Source organism: Homo sapiens, chromosome 3 (genome assembly GCF_000001405.40).
Source record: "Homo sapiens chromosome 3, GRCh38.p14 Primary Assembly".
NCBI lineage: Eukaryota > Metazoa > Chordata > Mammalia > Primates > Hominidae > Homo > Homo sapiens.
The window spans coordinates 64,090,144-64,108,172 of NC_000003.12; the positions used below are offsets into that span (position 1 = coordinate 64,090,144).

The 18,029-nt window shown below is 42.9% G+C and overlaps 1 protein-coding gene and 2 long non-coding RNA genes across 4 annotated transcripts in view; 2 read left to right on the top strand and 1 right to left on the bottom strand.

Annotated features, from left to right (window-relative positions):
• The window catches only part of PRICKLE2-AS1 (PRICKLE2 antisense RNA 1), a 35,168-nt gene extending 22,180 nt beyond the window's left edge, over positions 1-12,988 (top strand). The window contains exons 2-3 of the long non-coding RNA NR_045697.1: positions 4,951-5,048; positions 6,780-12,988. This is a non-coding gene — a long non-coding RNA (PRICKLE2 antisense RNA 1). The remainder of the gene's footprint in view (positions 1-4,950; positions 5,049-6,779) is intronic.
• Positions 2,093-18,029, bottom strand: part of PRICKLE2 (prickle planar cell polarity protein 2) — a 175,938-nt gene continuing 160,001 nt past the window's right edge. For both annotated transcript variants that reach the window (NM_001370528.1, NM_198859.4), the window contains exon 8: positions 2,093-9,782. In NM_001370528.1, the coding sequence (NP_001357457.1) occupies positions 8,908-9,782 (875 nt within the window). In that variant the 3' untranslated portion in view covers positions 2,093-8,907. The remainder of the gene's footprint in view (positions 9,783-18,029) is intronic.
• On the top strand, positions 13,327-16,215 carry PRICKLE2-AS2 (PRICKLE2 antisense RNA 2). The gene is made up of 4 exons (NR_046701.1): positions 13,327-13,361; positions 14,350-14,590; positions 15,576-15,752; positions 15,871-16,215. It is a non-coding gene; the product is annotated as a PRICKLE2 antisense RNA 2 (long non-coding RNA).

An 18,029-nucleotide genomic window follows, 5' to 3' on the forward strand; every position in this document is an offset into this window, starting at 1 on the left:
ACATTAAAAAAAGATAAGAGCATTCTTAGACTAGATATGGCTCAGTGATATTGGGAACTCTCCTGCCTTCAGGTAGGGGGACCACCCCTGCATCCCCTCCCCACCAAGAGCTATTGCAGCACTCAATCAAACTTCTCGCCTAACTCACTCTTCGAGTGTGTGCGTGCCCAATCCTTCCTGGTGGTGAGACAAGAACCCAGGCCTAAGCTATGGAGCAAAAATACTGCATCATGTGTGTATTTGTTTCAGAGACTTGGAAGAAAACAAGAAATGCCAAGGCAGAATTTCTTGAGCTGTGATTCTCAAACCACCTAGATCATAAAGATATAAAGGGCACTGTTATAAAAGCAGATTCTGGGGCTCTACCTCAGATCCACTGAACCAGAACGTCTTTCAGGAGGATGAGGAGTTTTCAGTAAGTTCAGTGGGCATTTTTTACACGTAGTGAAGATTCAGACCTTCCTTGAATGTCTTTAAATCCTATTTAACGCGTATAATAAAAAAAGATAAGAGCATTATTAGATTAGATACCACTGGTGTCTAGTTCTTGCCAGCATCTCTCTTTGGGTAGACTAGAAATACTAATGATAGTAATAACAATAGCTAATGTGTGTTGAGCTTTTTTTTTTTTTTTTTTTTTTTTTTTTTTTTTTTTCTTCTTGAGACGGAGTCTCGTTCTGCTGCCCAGGCTGGAGTGCAGTGGCACCATCTCGGCTCACTGCAAGCTCCGCCTCCCGGGTTCACGCCATTCTCCTGCCTCAGCCTCCCGAGTAGCTGGGACTACAGGCGCCCGCCACCACGCCCGGCTAATTTTTTGTATTTTTATTAGAGACGGGGTTTCACCGTGTTAGCCAGGATGGTCTCGATCTCCTGACCTCGTGATCCGCCCGCCTCGGCCTCCCAAAGTGCTGGGATTACAGGCGTGAGCCACCGCGCCCGGCCTGAGCTTTTATAATGACAGGTAGCACTAAGAGCTTTACACGTATTATTCCAGTACATCCACACAATAACCCAATAATGACTCTTCTGTTATTATCTCATTTAATAGATTAAGAACTGAGGCTCAAAGAGGATATGGACATTTCCCAAGATCAACAAGTAGCAAGTGGCTGAGATGACATTTAAAATGTTAAAGGAACATGGGGCCAAAATAAAAGGTGCACAACTGGCATTTAGTGCATATGGGATCCTTCATATGTTTTAATTGGGATTGCAAGGAACTCTTGAGCCCAAAGAGGTTACATAGGTATGTATTGTCACAATACATAGGCACAGTGGGGAGGGGTATGTGAAGGACCAAAATCAAATGGTAACCCTAGAGGGGTACCTCCAGGGCAGGAACTAGGATCTGTTTGGAGGTGAGGAAGTCCTGAGGACCAGCTCCTCTGGGTCCATTCTGATCTCTTGTCTTTGCTCTTAGATCTGCTCTCAGCCTAGACTTTTGCTTATTTGTTGCATCTGCTTCCTCATCCTTCCTCTTACCTTGTTGCTCCTGTGCTGGACTCCACCTCCTGGTTCCTCCCCATACATTCTCTTAGCTTCCACTCCCACTGCCAGCTGCCTCATTCTCTCAGAATTTCTTGGTTTATAATCTTATTTAATCTTATTAGAGACAAAGTCTCTTACTGTGTCACCCAAACTGGAGTGCAGTGGCACAGTCATAAGTCATTGCGGCCTCAAGTTATCTTCCTGCTTCAGCCTCCTCAGTACCTGGGACTACAGGTTTGCACCATTATGCCAGCTACTGGTTTTTGTTTTTGTTCTTTTTCCATAGAGACGGAGGCGATGGGGGCGGGGGCGGGTCTTGCTATGTTGCTCAGGCTGGTCTTGAACTCCTGGCCTCAAGTGATCCTCCCACCTCAGCCTCCCAAAGTGCTGGGATTATAGACATGAACCACTGTGCCCAGCCTGTATTCTTGAGAGAGCGAATCTGATAAGTCCAGCTTATCATGCTTATAAGATTGCTGGTAGGGTGCTATACCTGACTACAATCATTTTGGCTGAAGAGGGGAAACAGGGAGGCTGTATATTAAAAACCATGGTTGCCTGCAGGCCATGCTCTATGGCATGTCTGTAAGCAGAACAGGCACAATTGCCATTTCCAGTTCAAGTTTTTATTCAAAAGCTCTTAGAATGTCTTACAATGAAACAACTCTTGTTGTCTGCCACTCCCAAGTCCTTGTGATTAGCTAGGGTGGGTAAGACTACTTACTATTCCGAATGTCTTGCCTAGTTGAAAGTAAAGTTTGTAAACTCCTTTAAGGTAGGGATTTTTGTTTGTTTTGCACATTATTGTATTCCAAGCACCTAGAACGGTTCCTGGCTAGAGAAAGCCTTTTGATAAATATTTGTTGAATGAATGAATAGATGATATTATAGCATCCAGCAAGTCCCTAATGTTGTGGATCAGACACGGGGAAATTGAATTTACATGCTGCCTTGGTCCTGGCTCCCAGTCAGTGTTAATGCTGCCCTAACCAGAACACAGACATGGATGTAATTCTCCAGACAGACCACTTATTATTTGCTTAAAAGCAAACACAAATATTTTTGGGTCATCTGCTGCTTTCAATTCTTGCTAATAACTGAAAATTAACTGTGTGGCCTGGGTAGGAATCAGTTTCAAGAATTCTCAAGGAACAAAGACACTAAGAAGGCAATGCATTGAAACCAGTGGTTCTCAACAGGGAGACATTGACAATGTGTGGAGACATTTTTAATTGTGGTTAAATAAACATAATATAAAATTTACCATCTTAACCACTTTTAAGTGTACAGTTCAGTAGTATTAAGTTCATCTGCATTGTTCTGCAACCCGTCTCCAGAACTCTTTTCATCTTGCCATAATGAAACTCTATACCCATTAAATAGTAACTCCCCATTCCCTCCTCCCTTCAGTCCCTGACAACCAACCACTCTTCTACATTCTGTCTCTATGAATTTGACTCTAGGTGCCTCAGATAAATGGAATCATACACTTGTCTTTTTGTGACTGGCTTATCTCACTTAGCAAAATGTCCTCAAGGTTCATCCATGTTGTAGCATGTGTCAGAATTTCCTTCCGTTTTAAGGCTGAATAATATTCCATTGTATGTATACACCACACCTTGTTTACACATTCATCCATCAGTGGACATTTGGGTTGCTCCCACTTTTTGGATATTGTGAATGCTGCTTTTATGAATATGGGTGTACAAGTATCTCTTTGGAGACCCTGCTGTCAATTCTTTTGGGTATAGCCCAGAAGTAGCATATGGTAGTAATTCTATTTTTAATTTTTTTTGAGGAACTGCCATACTGTTTTCCACAGCACTACATCATTTTACATTCCCACCAACAGTGTACAAGTGTTCCAATTGCTCCACATCCTCACCCACATTTGTTGTTATTTTTAATAACTGCCATCCTAATGGTTGTGATGGGAGACATTTTTAGTTGTCACAGTTTCTGGGGGCTGCTACTGGCATCTAGTGAGTAGAAGTCAGCGATGTTGCTAAACATCCTACAATGCACAGGACAGCCCTCTGCAACCGAGAATTAACTAGCACAAGACGTCAATATTGCTGAGGCTTAGAAACCCTGATTTAAACAATCAGGTTAATATTTCATAGTAAAACTCATCCCTCCATACCTGTGTCCTTTCTTTTCTTTGTTGAAATGCTCAAAGGCAGAGACCACCCCTAAAATCTGGAAAGTGAGGGAGGGCTGAGAAGAATGGCAACATTTCTTTTATTCAAATTTTATTGGAAGTTTACAAATGTATTACAGACATCAGTAAAACATCATATCCATTTTACAGGGCACGGATCTCAAGCAAAGTGTTCAGAACAGTCTCTGGCAGAGCCCACACCAAAGGCCTGTTGCAGACCTTCTTAACAAATAGCTTGACACTCAACACAGAACACAGACTCTGGCCTGCCTCACCTTCCCAGGCCCTTTGAGGTTTTGTTTATGCACTTGAAATGAAAGCAGGAGATGGACAAAGCAATCCTGTGGAGGAAAGAATGAGTTTAGGAGAGGAAAACCTGCCGAAGTCCTAATTTGCTAAAAAAAAATTAATTAAAAAATGGAGGACTCATAGTCCTTACAATGTTAAGTCAGGGTCTATGACAGAATCATGACACTTTATGGAAAGATATGAAAATCAACTAGGTAGGTTTAAGAACAGACCTTACTGGTAAGTAACTCTCTCTGAAAAATTTAGAAAAGCTTGGTCAGTGACCTGTTGAATATCAATGGCCAAATGCCAAGCAGAGTGAAGGGATATCTCAGAGAACTCTCAGAATAGAACAAGCAGATTTTTCTCTATCCTATGGATTCATCGTATTCAAAACACAGGAATGTTTTCCTAACACTATGTGACTTTCCCCTCCTTTATATTTCCTTGAGGAAAGCTAGTTTTGTCAGCAGGAAGTAAGCTTATAAAATAGTATGGCTCCCAATAGTGAGTCATATTTTATGGGAGTCTTGTGTTGACTAGGCTACTATTATGAGAAAATGGAAAAAGAATCCAATTTTTTCTTGATCTTTACTTTGAGGACTACTTCCAAATGGTCATAAGAATAAGCTCTGGTATCTGCTGAGGCACCAGAGGGACAAACCACTGGAGACAAGGCAAAGGCCATTTCTACTTCTCTTGTGCTTAAAGAAATGTACCTCAAAAGGTGGCGATCTGAAACTGCCTTCAACAATTGGCAGTGGAGGCTTGGCTACTGAGTCTTGCATATGCAAATGCTGTCTGCAGAGCCCATTTTAAAGCCCTGAAGGTGCAAAACAGTTGCTAATAGCAACTGTCCTGGCATGAAGTATTCAGATAACTGGTTCAGTTTTCCACTTTCCTTTGTCATGGACGGATCTTCCTTCTTAGGCTTAAGCATCTGTTTTCTGCTAGAAATACACAAAGAACACTTCTCCTTGGAATTTAAATATTTATTTATTTTTTGTTAGAAGGTGGGATTACATGAAGAATAAGATGAAGTCTTACCTCACCTCTGCAAAATGAAGACTGCCTATAGTAATTGGCAGAGAACATGAAAATGGCCAAGGAGGTAAAGAGATTTTTTTGTCCTTTAGCCTAAGAAGTCAGCTTCCTCGAGCCTCCACAACCTGGGATGGGGGAGGGGCAGGTGAATTGGAGTCTCCGAATTACTTATACATATTGGTTCCTAAATGTTCGTAATTATGCTTCCTAAACTGTTTTTGTTCTACGGCAAGAGAACCAAGAGTGGAAAGACAGATATGAATCAGTTCACAAATAAGATTGGTTATCAGACCAATAAGATCAGTTCTGATCAACTGGTCCTGGCTGGTTGGAGTGTTGCAAAGATCTGTGAGGCTGCATCCACATTCTCAGCAAGAGTATACAGTGATGCATTGGTTGTATCTGCTCAGCTTGCAGGGAGCGCAGAGCACATGCTACATATATGTCATCACAGGCCTCACCTGAATTGAACAATAGCTAGTAGTACCCAAGAAGCAGAAAGCTGCTGCAGAAGGAAGAAAACATAATCTTGTTATAGTGCAGGAACATCCTACAGGAAATGAGGATTAGAAAGCACTACTTCCAGATCCTGTATTAGAAACACAAAATTGCTCATTTGCTCGACTGGTTGGGGGTAGAAAGGAAGGAATAAAAAATAAAAGGTGAAAGTGGAAAGAAGGTGTCAAACAACCCACACCAGGACTTCTTCCTTGGATGTATGAAAAACCAGGAAGCATGGTTCTGATCTCCCTTACCTCATTCACCTTCACACTTGGTAGAGATCCCACAACTATATGACAGAAGGAAAGCGCCCTGAATACCATCCTCAATGCCACCTGGCTGCCAAGAAGCCTTTTCACAGTACCAAGGGTGGTATGGATTGGCAGAGCCACTCAGGAAACTGTCAATGACTTATACTTCCTGGGTCTGGGAACAAGCCAGCTATGTTGCTACTGAATTGAGCAGCAATAGGAAATGAACTCAACTCCGAAGTTGCAGTTCTAACCAAAAGACAAGAAGATCAATATTAGGAGAGGTGGGAAAAATAACAACCAGGGCATTGGAGAAGAGAGAACGCTGGAAAAAGATTACTATTCTGGAAATCAGTCTCTTGAAGATGGAATTATGATCTAAGAGGAAGTGAGTACAGGCCCTACTCACAGGAGGAGCTTGTCCAATAAGAGTTAATGGTTGTGATGGAGGAATTAGGTGAGGACCTTAAGTTCTTGCCTCAGGAAATAATGCATTGGGAGTGGGATTCTGGGATGTGATGTGTGAGCTATCACTAGCAGGCAGAATTCCAAATACAGTGATGTCCTTCTCCTCAATAGGGCATTCGCTTGGGGGTTCTGCCATCATTGTAAGGAATTGGCCTTCCTCATTCAGCATTCTCTGTAAGGTTGCATTTGGGGTCAGAAGAAATCTGCAATGGTAGAATTGAGGGAGGTAATCTTGCTAGTAGACAGTTTTACCCTGAAGCTTGTATGTCATTTCATCTCAAGCTCTGAGCAGTTCAGTGCCTGGATGCTCTCTGGGCATCTAGACTTATGCCTCCAGACCCCTCCGGGCACTGGCCATGTGTCAGTTTTTAGGCCACCTTCTTTCTGATGATGGTGGTTGAAGCTTTCTTTGAGAAAGGTAAGAGGTATTCTGAGAAAAACAGAGTTAGGAAGCAACTTTTACTGGGAGAATTTCTTTCACTGGATTTGGGGCCACAGAGGACAGACATATTTTCAACCGTTTGCTAAGATAAGTGATCTACTTTTCCCCCTCTCTTTTTCCAAAATTGCCTTTTTAGTTTCATCAATCAAGGAACTTAAAACTCCAAATTGGACTCGCACAATTTCTACCAGAAACCTGCCACTTTAGTAGCACGGTATTGCAAATTATTTCTTAATCAGTTTGCCAAGCAGTTTACAAACTTACTATACAAACGTAATAGAGTTAATTCTCCGGAGGCTCGGATAATTAATGAAGCATTTAGATATGAAGATAGCATGCGGAAAACAGCCACAACCAACATGTGCATTGCTTTTTTAAAAAAATCAGTGACAATGACAAATGTCATATTAATACCTGAAAAGCAAATTATTTTAATACATCCCGAATGGAGTGCCATTACCATGTCCTTTACAGCCTTCCTTTCCTCAGACCCATCTGGGACGGGGTCTGAAATGCCACTTTTGACATTCTCTCCATAAAAAATACTAGAAAATGTTAACTACTATACTGAAAAGAGATCACGCTCACCTCACCATGGCAGATGGCCACTGAGATACACCGGGCACTACATCGACAGTACATCTCACTACAGGTGGGTCATCCGATGGATTATTTCAACTGCCACAATCCATTAAGGGGAGGAGGAGGATGGAAGAAACCAAGTGCTTCATTTTTAACTGAAGCAAGGTAGGGAGTTTTATTTTACTATAAACAGCACAACCGTTAAATGTCTTCATTAAGCAAACTCACTTTTGAGCCCATTTTCTGACCAACAGTCCTCAAAGTTCAAAATGGAAATACCCTCCCAACAAAGCCTGTTTTTTTAAAGACATTGCACCACTGAAATCTCAGCAGCTCAACCTTCCTGGGTAATCCAGATACTCTGGTTACTAAGCTGGTTACACTGGACTCTTTCTACAATCTCTGGGAGCTCTTCGAGGTGGTTGTCACCTGTCCTCTGTTTCATTTCCAGTTCTTCTTTTCCCTGACCTGCCTTCAGATTCTCCTTTAACTTCTACCCTTGACCTGCCTTCTGTTTTCAAATAGCCTTGTTCCTTCTCCAGGCATGACATGTCACACACCGTCCCTCGCAGAGCCCCCTCAGAATCCTTCTGTCCCTCAATCCCAAATGCTTAAGTTCATTTGCTTTGAGGACAACCGGTTGTCAGGCTAAGGCAGCAGTTCTGTCTGCCTTGGTAAAGGAAAGCAGATAATACAATCCAGGAAACATGAGCACCAGAACATAATGCCACATTCAAAACAACGTCATGCTGACATCACACAATGGCACCACTCACAGTCACTTTTACTTTCCCCAAGGGATAGATCAACATTAAGTAACTTCAACATTCCCAGCAGGGATGGCATTTCTCACAGAATTTTACTGACACCGGTTGGTTTCTCTAATTGGCAAAAATTACATTTGCAATTTAAAAAAAAATTACTACCACTTTGTAGAAAATAAATTCTACTGAGGGTGGGAGCAGACTTAAGGATGGCTCCTTAAGATGGAACGGAGCATAAAATGCTTTGGGTCTAACAGTTATGTTTTTTCAGCCACAAAAAGCCAAATTGAATATGTTCCTTTGAAAAAGGTCTCACTGACATGTAACAAATTTGTATAGAAAAAAAAAAAAAAAAAAAAAAGGTGGTACCGGGCCACATTTCAATACTACTCAGAGACAATGGTGGATGTGCATGCAAGTCCCCACTGAGTCCTACGATATAGAAATTCCTTTGATATTACAAAATACAAAAATATTTTATCAGAACTCTCATTTACATTGCATTTACAATGGACATGTAAATAACTTAGTCTTGGGTCCTGGCTAATAAACAAATTACTTACTGAAAAAAGGGTCCTAAAAGTAAGAGAACCAGAGAGGATAAAAGCGAGCAGGAAACAATTTACCATCTTGAGAGATGGCAACTCAACACAGAACTGATGGGAAGGAAGTGACCAAGCCTGGCCTCGATAGAGTCTACTGTGTTTCCAAAGTGAAATGTGCAAATAATATTCAACATGCCAAGAACTGTGACTACCTATTGAGTCAACCTGTAACCTTGCCTCCATCTACTGACAGCATTTTCCCTTTTCTCCCCCATAAGCCACCCCCAAAAGCGCTTTAACATTTAAAACAGTGCAAGTTTCTGACTTTACATTCTTAGCTCCCATCTTCTCCCATTCCCTGATCCCAATCATATTAAGAAATGATACAGTTTTTGCTCTTCTGTCTTTTCCTGCTGTGCAACTGTCCTCTGCCACCTAATGTGGAAGATTTGGGGAGGCCGTAGGAGCTGTATTTGTGCAGCAGCTCATCGCTTGTGACGTATCGCAGGCGCGCTGGCTGGGGGATGGGTTCTCCTAGGAAATAGCCCTCGTTGTCAGACTCTGAAGAGGAGGAGCAGGTGGAACACCAATCATACTCGGCGAAGTAGGGTCCCCAGCGGTCCCCAAAGGCATTCTGCAAAGCCAGGTCCGACACAGTCCTAGGGCACTGGCCGTACAGGTCCCTCCGGGACCCATGCCCCATGCTCTCCTGGAAGCTCCGCTGGCGCATAAATTGGTCATAGTCCTCCCTGGCTCTCAGAGGGGGCCTATCTTTTAACCGGGAGATGGCCTCGCGTTCGCTGGCCAGGTGGAGGGCGTTGTCGGAGCGAGAGCGTCGGGAACGCCTGGACCTGTGAGGTCGGAAACGGCGGTTGTCGTCGCGTGAAGTAGCTCTTCTCCGGGTGCGTTCACTCATGGGCTGGATCCTCACGCCCTCCTGCCCTGGCAGCTTGCTGCCCGCCATCCCTCCATCAAAATCAAAGCTCTGATGCATCCTTCCGTGGGACTGCAGGTCTCTGTAGCCAATGGGGTTGCTGAGCTGGTGGAGGTTTCCCTCCATCTCCTGGTACTGCTGGGCAGAGAGCAGGCTGCGAACTGACTCTGCGCTCCGGAACTGCATGGACGAGTTAAGAGTGCCCATGTTGCTCAGCTTCTCAGACACATTCATTCCAGAGTCTTTGCTGAGGTCAGGCATGGAAAATCGGGATAGGTGCTCCTGGCGCTTGGCACCACCATCAGCAGAGAGGCCTGGGGAAGAGAGGAGGGGACCACAGAGATTAATACAGATGTGCAGCAATGGGTATCACTGTCACTGCTGGTCATCTATCTAGGGTCATTATATACCGTTGTGAAGTTGTGTACTGCACAAAGGCCCTCTCAGGGGGCACATGTGCCTGTGAGGGGGTTCTCTCCACTCCACAGTAGGTCACTATCTACCTAGAGGGGGCACTTACTTAAAATGCTTCCAGAGATGTATTTTACCAGTTACTAGTTCCTCCAAAGGCTCATCAAAGTTACTAAGAGCCCACTGTGTATCCTATGTATGATGCTTCCTCTATTTGGAGTTTCACTTTGCAAAGTACTTTAATTACATTTTTGATTCTAATCATGCACTATAAGCTCTGTAGGACAGATATTTTGGATGAGCAAACTTTAAGCTCTAGAGGCTGGATCATGCCCAAGCTGTTTCTGGCAATACCAAACACTGGTTCCACAATATTGGGCCAGTTCACTTCTCTGTTAGCCCGCAGCAGTTTCCTGCTTTGCCTGCTGTCCCTAAGTGGCAGGTGGCTCCCTATCAAAAGTGTCTTGGACACTAAGTGACTCCCTAGATATAGATAGAGAAATATTTACTCTCTCAGACCATTCAGTGAATGCTCCAAGGTTGTAAATGGGTCTCTAGCAGCCAGAAGATGTGTGTGGGACCCCAAGGGACCTCTCGGTCGCACGGGGAGGGACTTTCAAAAGTAAAGCAGTGGGTTTGATGCTCTCAAACAGTGGGTGCCCCAGCAATGGACCTCCATTTCTTAACTGCTGTCAAATGAGCTCTTGGCATCCCTGAGATGAAAACCATTTTGAAGGTAGTGGGAGATACTGACTGCAGTAACTTCCATTTTGCTCATTTTCAGGCAGAGCTCTCTAAGGAGATGTTTAAGAATGGGCCAGGTGGCAAAGTCTCAGCATTTTCCACTCATTACATATTGCAAGGATCAGCAATTTGCCATTCCTGGTCATAGACAACATGCCTTTGGATTGCAATGGCCCATTATCACCCCTGCTACTGATTATTCCTGTCTCCTACTGGGGCCTCCAACTTCCTCTTCCGTGACAAAACCTAAAGCAGTGTTACGAGCACTTTGCAAAATTACTTGGCAATATTTACTAAAGCTAAATACACATATACGTATATGAATTATAAATAAAGCCGCTCTGAATATCCTTGGCCATTTTTTGTGGACTTATGAATTTCTGTTGGGTGTACGACCAAGAGTAGAAATTCCACAATTCTCCATCTTCACTCTTGATTATATATTCATCAGAAGTTAGTAAGAAGGTCCAAGAAATGGACAAGGGTACTCAGAGAAGCTTTCTTGTAATAGCCCAGAAACGGAAACAACTCAAATGTCAATTATCAGGAAAATGGATAAATATATTGTGGTTTTTTCTACCATTCCCCACTAAAAGGAATCCAGGCTCTTTAGAAAGATGGCCAATTCCAGGATAAAGGCAAGGAAATTAAAAGAACCAGGATCTTGTTATGCCATAAAGTGAGAAAGTATTAAAAATAAGATATGGCAGGGGTTTGTCAGAAGGACACAGGGCCTAACTTGAAGGGGCCCCCACTGGCCAAATCTGAACAATTTGAGCACTCAAATATTTAAGTGAAGTAATGATTTATAAACCACTGAAACAAATAGGAATTCACAAGTCCATGCTGATAGCAGATAAATAAAAACATAAATAAATACACAAACAGGGAAAAGAGAGGGCTCTATGTATAGTGGAATGCCAACCGCTGTCAGTAGAGTAAGTTCACAAGAAGGAAGGGGGTGCCAGATTTGGAAAGTCATTTTATAACCATTGGAGGTAGAGTGCTTCACACAAGAATCAAAAAGTGTGCTAAATTTAGGGGGTAAAATTTGATGGGGGAGAGCATTGTTTTAAAGTGTTTCCCTACACATTGCTTATTAGTTGCAAGGGAAGAATTAGTAACTAAACAAAGGTAAAATCAGACAACACCTTGACCTTAAGTTCAAACTTAACATCCCTGGTGAGATGCAACTGCACCCTGCATGCCTCCAGTTGAGATGTACTCAGAAGGGCACACTATCCCTTATGTAGTATTCCAGTCAAGAATGTATTACCCGAATGCATTCAGGAGGAAACATTAGACAGATGCCAAAAGGAGGGACATTTGTTATGAAAAAAGGGACTGTAGTCTTAAGACCAGACAAGACTGAGAGAATGTTCTAGATGAAAGGGTACGAGGGAAACATGGCAATTACATATAATACCTGATCCTGGACTGGAACCTGCTCTTTAGGGAAACTAAATGCTATAAAGTAGGGGTTCCCAGACCTCAGGCTACAGACTGGTTAGGAGCAGGGCCACACAGAAGGAGGTGAGTGGTCAGTAAGGGAAGCTTCATCTGCATGTACAGCCACTCCCCATTGCTCCAACTACTGCCTGACCTCTGCCTCCTGACAGATCAGCAGCAGCATTAGACTCTCATAGGAGTGTAAACCCTGTTGTGAACTGCTCATGCAGGATCTAGGTTGTGTGCTCCTTACGAGAATCTCATGCCTGATGATCCATAACTGTCTCCCATTACCCCTAGATGGGACTGTCTAGTTGCAGGAAAACAAGCTCAGGTCTCCCACTGACTCTACCTTAAAGTGAGTTGTGTAATTATTTCAGTATATATTACAATGTAGTAATAATAGAAATAAAGTACATAATAAATGTAATGCACTTGAACCATCCCAAAGCCATCCCCACCCCCTGGCCCCAGTCTGTGGAAAAATTATCTTCCATAAAACCGGTCCCTGGTGCCAAAAAGGTTGGGGACTGCCTCTATAAAGGATAACTTTTGGTCAACTGAAAAAAAAATGGAACATGGGCAATAGATAAAAGTATTATGCTAAATTTACTGTGGTCAATTAATAATGGTGATAATGTGGGAGAAGATCTTTACTCTTGGGAAATATATATGGAAGGATATGGTGGTAAATGGCCCAGATGGATGCAATTTGCTCTCAAATGGTTTATAAATAAAATGTGTGTGTGTGTGCGTGTGTGTGCATGCATGTGAACATGAAAGAACAAATGTGGCAAAAGGTTAACAATGGATCAATCTACGTAAAGAGTACATTACAGGTGTTGTTTGTTCTATTTTTATAACTTTTTTTAAGTCTGAAATTATTTCCAAATAAAAAGTTTCTTTAACATTAGAATATATTCATCTGATATGATGGTTTTTAATTCTGAAGGAAATTTGGAAACATCTGGACACATTTTTGGTTGTCACTATTAGGATGGGATTCTCCTGGCGTCTAGTAGGTAGAGGCCAGAGATGTTGCTAAACATCCTACAGTGTGAAGGATGGCTTCCTTGCCTCCACACAGAATTTTCCAAACCAAACTGTCAACAGTCTCAGAAGAAACCCTGATAAAATGGAATATTACACAATAATGAGAACGAATAACTACACCCAAGAACATGGATGTATCTCATAGAAAATGCTTGGACATGCAAAAAGAATATGTGCTGTATGATTCCATTTATATGAAGTTCAAGAACAGGCTGAGGCTATCTATAGTGATACAGGTCAGGGCAGTGGGAGGAGGGGGTATGAAGAAGGCTTCTAGGGCACTGCAATTGTTCTATAACTAAATCTGGATGGTGGCTGTAAAACAATACACATGTGTAAAAATTCACTGAGATGTAGTTTTAATATTGGTTTGCTTTATTCTGTGTAAATTATATCTCAATAAAATGGAGTAAAAGTAAAGCAACGTTTGGCCAGGTGTGGTGGCTCATGCCTGTAATCCCAGCACTTTGGGAGGCCAAGGAGGGTGGACTGCTTGAGCTCAGGAGTTCAAGACAAACCTGGGCAACATGGTGAAACCCTGTCTCTACTAAAAATACAAAAATTAGCTGGGCATGGTGGTGCGTGCCTGTAGTCCCAGCTACTTGGGAGACTGAGGTGGCAGTATCACCTGAGCCCAGGAGGTGGAGGCTGCAGTGAGCCGAGATTGTGCAACTGTGCTCCAGCCTGGGCAACAGAGCGAGCCCCTGTCTCCAAAAAATAAACAAATAAATAAATAAAAAATAAAACAATGTTTGTTAAAGGGTCAAATTTTAACATTGGATATGCCTATAAAGAAATTAATCAGCTAAATATCATATACTCCAGTAATTTTTTGTTTCAATTTCGTTCCTGGGATAACTGTCAGGGCAATAGCAGCTGGGGCCTCCAATCGCTTGCTTACTCTGCTGCTTATCTCTTACATACAAATCATAAAAGCCGATTTACAACAGCCTAATCACTTCCAGAGCCTCCCCAATATGAAAGCAGAGAGGAGAGGATAACAACCTAAGATGATGAATGAGTGGTTTGAGTGGATGAACTCTAGTAAGAAAGGAAAGAAAACATCTTCAAACTCATGTCTAGAAACAAAAGGTGGACACAATGATCTTTGCAGGGCTTTCCAACCTAGCTCTTGAGTAGAATTAGGGTCAGCATAAATAACTTAGCAAATACTATTAATTCCCCAGCATGCTGTTTTCCCGAACCTGTCTTTCATAAGCCCAGAAGTGAAATGTTTTTGAGAGCATCCTGCTTGTGAACAGATTCCTATTTCCGTGAGGAGGTGACCTCGAAGAAGAGCAGCTTCTATTCTGCTGGGAGGTGTACTGCCTTCTGGTATCAGGCTTCTGCATCCCGGGAAAGCTCGGGATAACCTGAGGCACCCCCTTGAAAAACAAAAGAGCTTGATCAGAGCAGGAGGGTCCTGTTGCACAAGCCCAGCATCTACTATCAGTTTCACCTAAATGTAAGCCATTCATTCCCCTGGACTATGTGTGGGTGGGACTGGAAATACTACCTGCTCACTCTAGAGAGGAGAAATGCCTCTCTTCTGATTCATTAACTCAGATTTTCCTCCAGGGTCTTCTTGCATGCAGGGCATGAACAGAAAGGCCAATGTTGACCAAAGATGAGCAATAACTGTGTACTTGCCTCTAGAAAGGGTAGTTCTGTGGTTACTTTCATTACTGGCAAAATCTAGAATCCTTACGCAGACCTTAAGGCCCTACGTGACTTGGCTCTCTTCTCTTTCTCCAAGATAATCAACTAAACACTCCTCCTCGCTTAACTCTGCTTCAGCTGTGCTTACATTCCTCCCTGTCTCCCCAAACACAACAATAAGCTTATTCCAGCAGGCCTTGGAAAACTCTTCCCTTTGCATGCCTGACTTCTGTTTGTTAAAGTCCTCGTGTAGATGTCACCTCCTCAGCAGTGTCATTTCTGAACACTCCTTCTAAAGTAGCAAAGTTAGTTGTCTTCTGGCCAACCACTCACTATTGCACTTGACCCTTTTTTAAACTACTCACCCTGACTTATTAAGGTCATATGTAAGTTTGTAGCTGAATGAATCCCCTGGGAGCCAGGATCTTCTCCCTACTCTTCACTGTATTCTTGCAGAGCTAGCAGTGCCCAGTACCCTTTGGTGCTCAATACATACTCATGGAATAAACGTAAATGGATTCTCATGTTACCCACAGCTTGGAAAAAAGCAACCACCCTCCAACCTGGAGTGGGTCAGTGCTGTGATCCACATGGGTGGGATTCCAAACATCCAGAAAAAAATACCATGATCACACCTGTCAATCTCCATCTCTGGTGATTCATTATATAGCCCACCATCTGGGGTTTCTCCAATTTTAAAGTCAAAGTACACGTGATTTATAATGAGCTCCCTGCACTGCAGAAATGTTTTCTCCTTACTAATCACAGCTCTGTTGATGTGTTTAAATTAGCAGCTGATACTGTCCCCAAGATGGAACTGTACTGTCACAGGTCACACTCCAACTTGAGAAGCACTCCTTTCCCCTCTAACTACGAACAGAACTGGAGAGCTACTTTCTGGCTGGGTGACTTGGGGAAATTTGTAAACCTCTTGAGATGCATCAGTAAGATGGGCATAATGACAGGAAGTGAGTACTAAAGCTGTAGTGATGATTAGATGAGGAAAAATATATCTTTCCTTTTTAAGGTTCATCATGACTATGGTGCATCTGTGTAGTTGTTGTTTCATCTCTGTCTTCTTGACAGATCAGCAGCTCCAAGAGGGCAGAAACTGTGCTCCTGTTTGCTAGCCCTGACCTCATACCTGGTATTCAGTATGCAGGAAGAAGGTTTAGTAAGGCCTAAAATTCCCCAAGGAAAGAAAGCATGCCTCAAGACTGTGAATGCCCTCCAGACATTTACAACTCATACTGATGATTTAGCTCCCTTTCAGTAGGGTCTTTCCTATATTATTTATTATTTATGTGCTGGGGCAGAGACATGAAGAAAATGGAGCTGTTTAGAACAGGAGTTTGCAAACTGCAATGGCCAGTGAACCAAATCCAGCTCACCGCTCACTGCCTGTTTTTCTAAATAAAGTTGTATTGGAACACAACCACACCTATTCATTTGCATATTGTCGAGGGTTGCTTTCTGGAGTTGGGAGTTGTGACAGACTGTATGACCTGCAAAGACTCAAATATGTTACAGGCAAACAAATATCATTGAATGCATGATTGTATGGATTAATGAATTTGAGAAACAGGGCCTGATGCACTGATATCCACTTGAACGCCAGCCACTGTTGTAAATTATCTGTGCCTCCAAACCGTGGCTGGGATTCCTCCTCTACACAGACGAAGCTCAACTCTTCACTCCATTTGTCTGTGCTGAACACGACACAGTGTCAAAATAATGCAAATCAATAGAATCCAACCTAATGGGGCTCTAACATGCCCTTACTCTCCTGTAATAAACACATTTTTCTTTTCTTGTTGTTTAAGCCATGGGGTGTGTGTGTGTCTGTGTGTGCGTGCTCAAGCACATGTGTGATAGGGAGGTGGGAGCTGCAAGCTAAATTTGCCAGAGAACTCTGGCTGCAGCACATAGTCCAGGGCAGTATCAGTACCCCTACATCCTCTGGAGGATCTGGCAGAAGAATCCCACCTGATGGCAAGGAGACACAGATATCAGGTCATTTCCCTCTCAAGCAGAGCTCTGTTTTCTTAATTAACAGAGAGGGTTTTTCCCTGCCAAATAATGCAGGCTTTATGAGAGGTGCTCAGGGTGATGATAGAGTTAAACGCAGTGATTTATCCATATCCCAAGGGTCAGTGTGACTGGGAGCTACGCAAATGTCCATGCACCACAGGGGTGCAGGTTCCCTTAAGATCCTTGGCTGTGCTTCTACAAAGAGAGGTCAGCATCCAATTCAGCCTGTGGTTCTCTGTGGTTTAACTGCCAGCATGAAGGTGCATTTGGGGCATTCTATGGTACACTGGCATTTCTGTCTGAGAAATGTTTCCCTCTCTACAAATAGGAGGTCTCACAGAAACTGGCCTCTGCGAGAAAATCAATGTTCTTCAAAGAATGCTCAAGGTCTGATGGAACGGAAAGAAAATATTTGCTGGCTCCCCTCCCCCACATGTCTTTGTGGGCAAAATGTATGCATGCAAGTCCAGAAAGAAGAAAAAGACTAAGATTGAACGGCAGACTTTAGGCACATCTTTCTGTTCCTTATTTATTGTCCTGTCTTATCCCACTCCGCACCAGAAGACAGAGAGCTGTGTTTCTGCCAACTTCAAAGATACATTACCAGGCACGGTGGCTCACTCCTATAAGCCCAGCGCTTTGGGAAGCTGAGGTGGGAGGAGCTCCTGAGCCCAGGAGTATGAGACCAGCCCTGGAAACATACTAAGACCCCCTAACTACAAAAACAAAAAACAGAAAATTAGCCAGGCATAGTGGTGTGCACCTATAGTCCCAGCTACTGGGGAGGCTGAGGCAGTAGGATCACGGTTACAGTGAGCTATGATGACACCACTGCACTCCAGAGCCTTTCAAAAAATAACTTTTTTAAGCATTCATATTTCACATTTCTGTGCAGTAAAGGAAATAGTATCTATTCAACCATGTCCTCCAGACATTTACAACTTATACTGATGACGTAGCTCCCTTTCATTAGGGTCTTTCCTATATGATTTTTATTTTCTTTTTTGCTGAGATAGAAACATGGAGAAAATGGAATTGTTTAGAACAGCGGTTTGCAAACTACAGTGGCAATGGGCCAAATCCAGCTTACTGCCTGTTTTTGTAAATAAATTTGTATTCAAACACAACTACACCTATTCATTTGCATGTTGTTGGTGATTGCTTTCCAGATTTGGGGAGTTGTGACAGACTGTATGACCTGCAAAGCCTCAAAT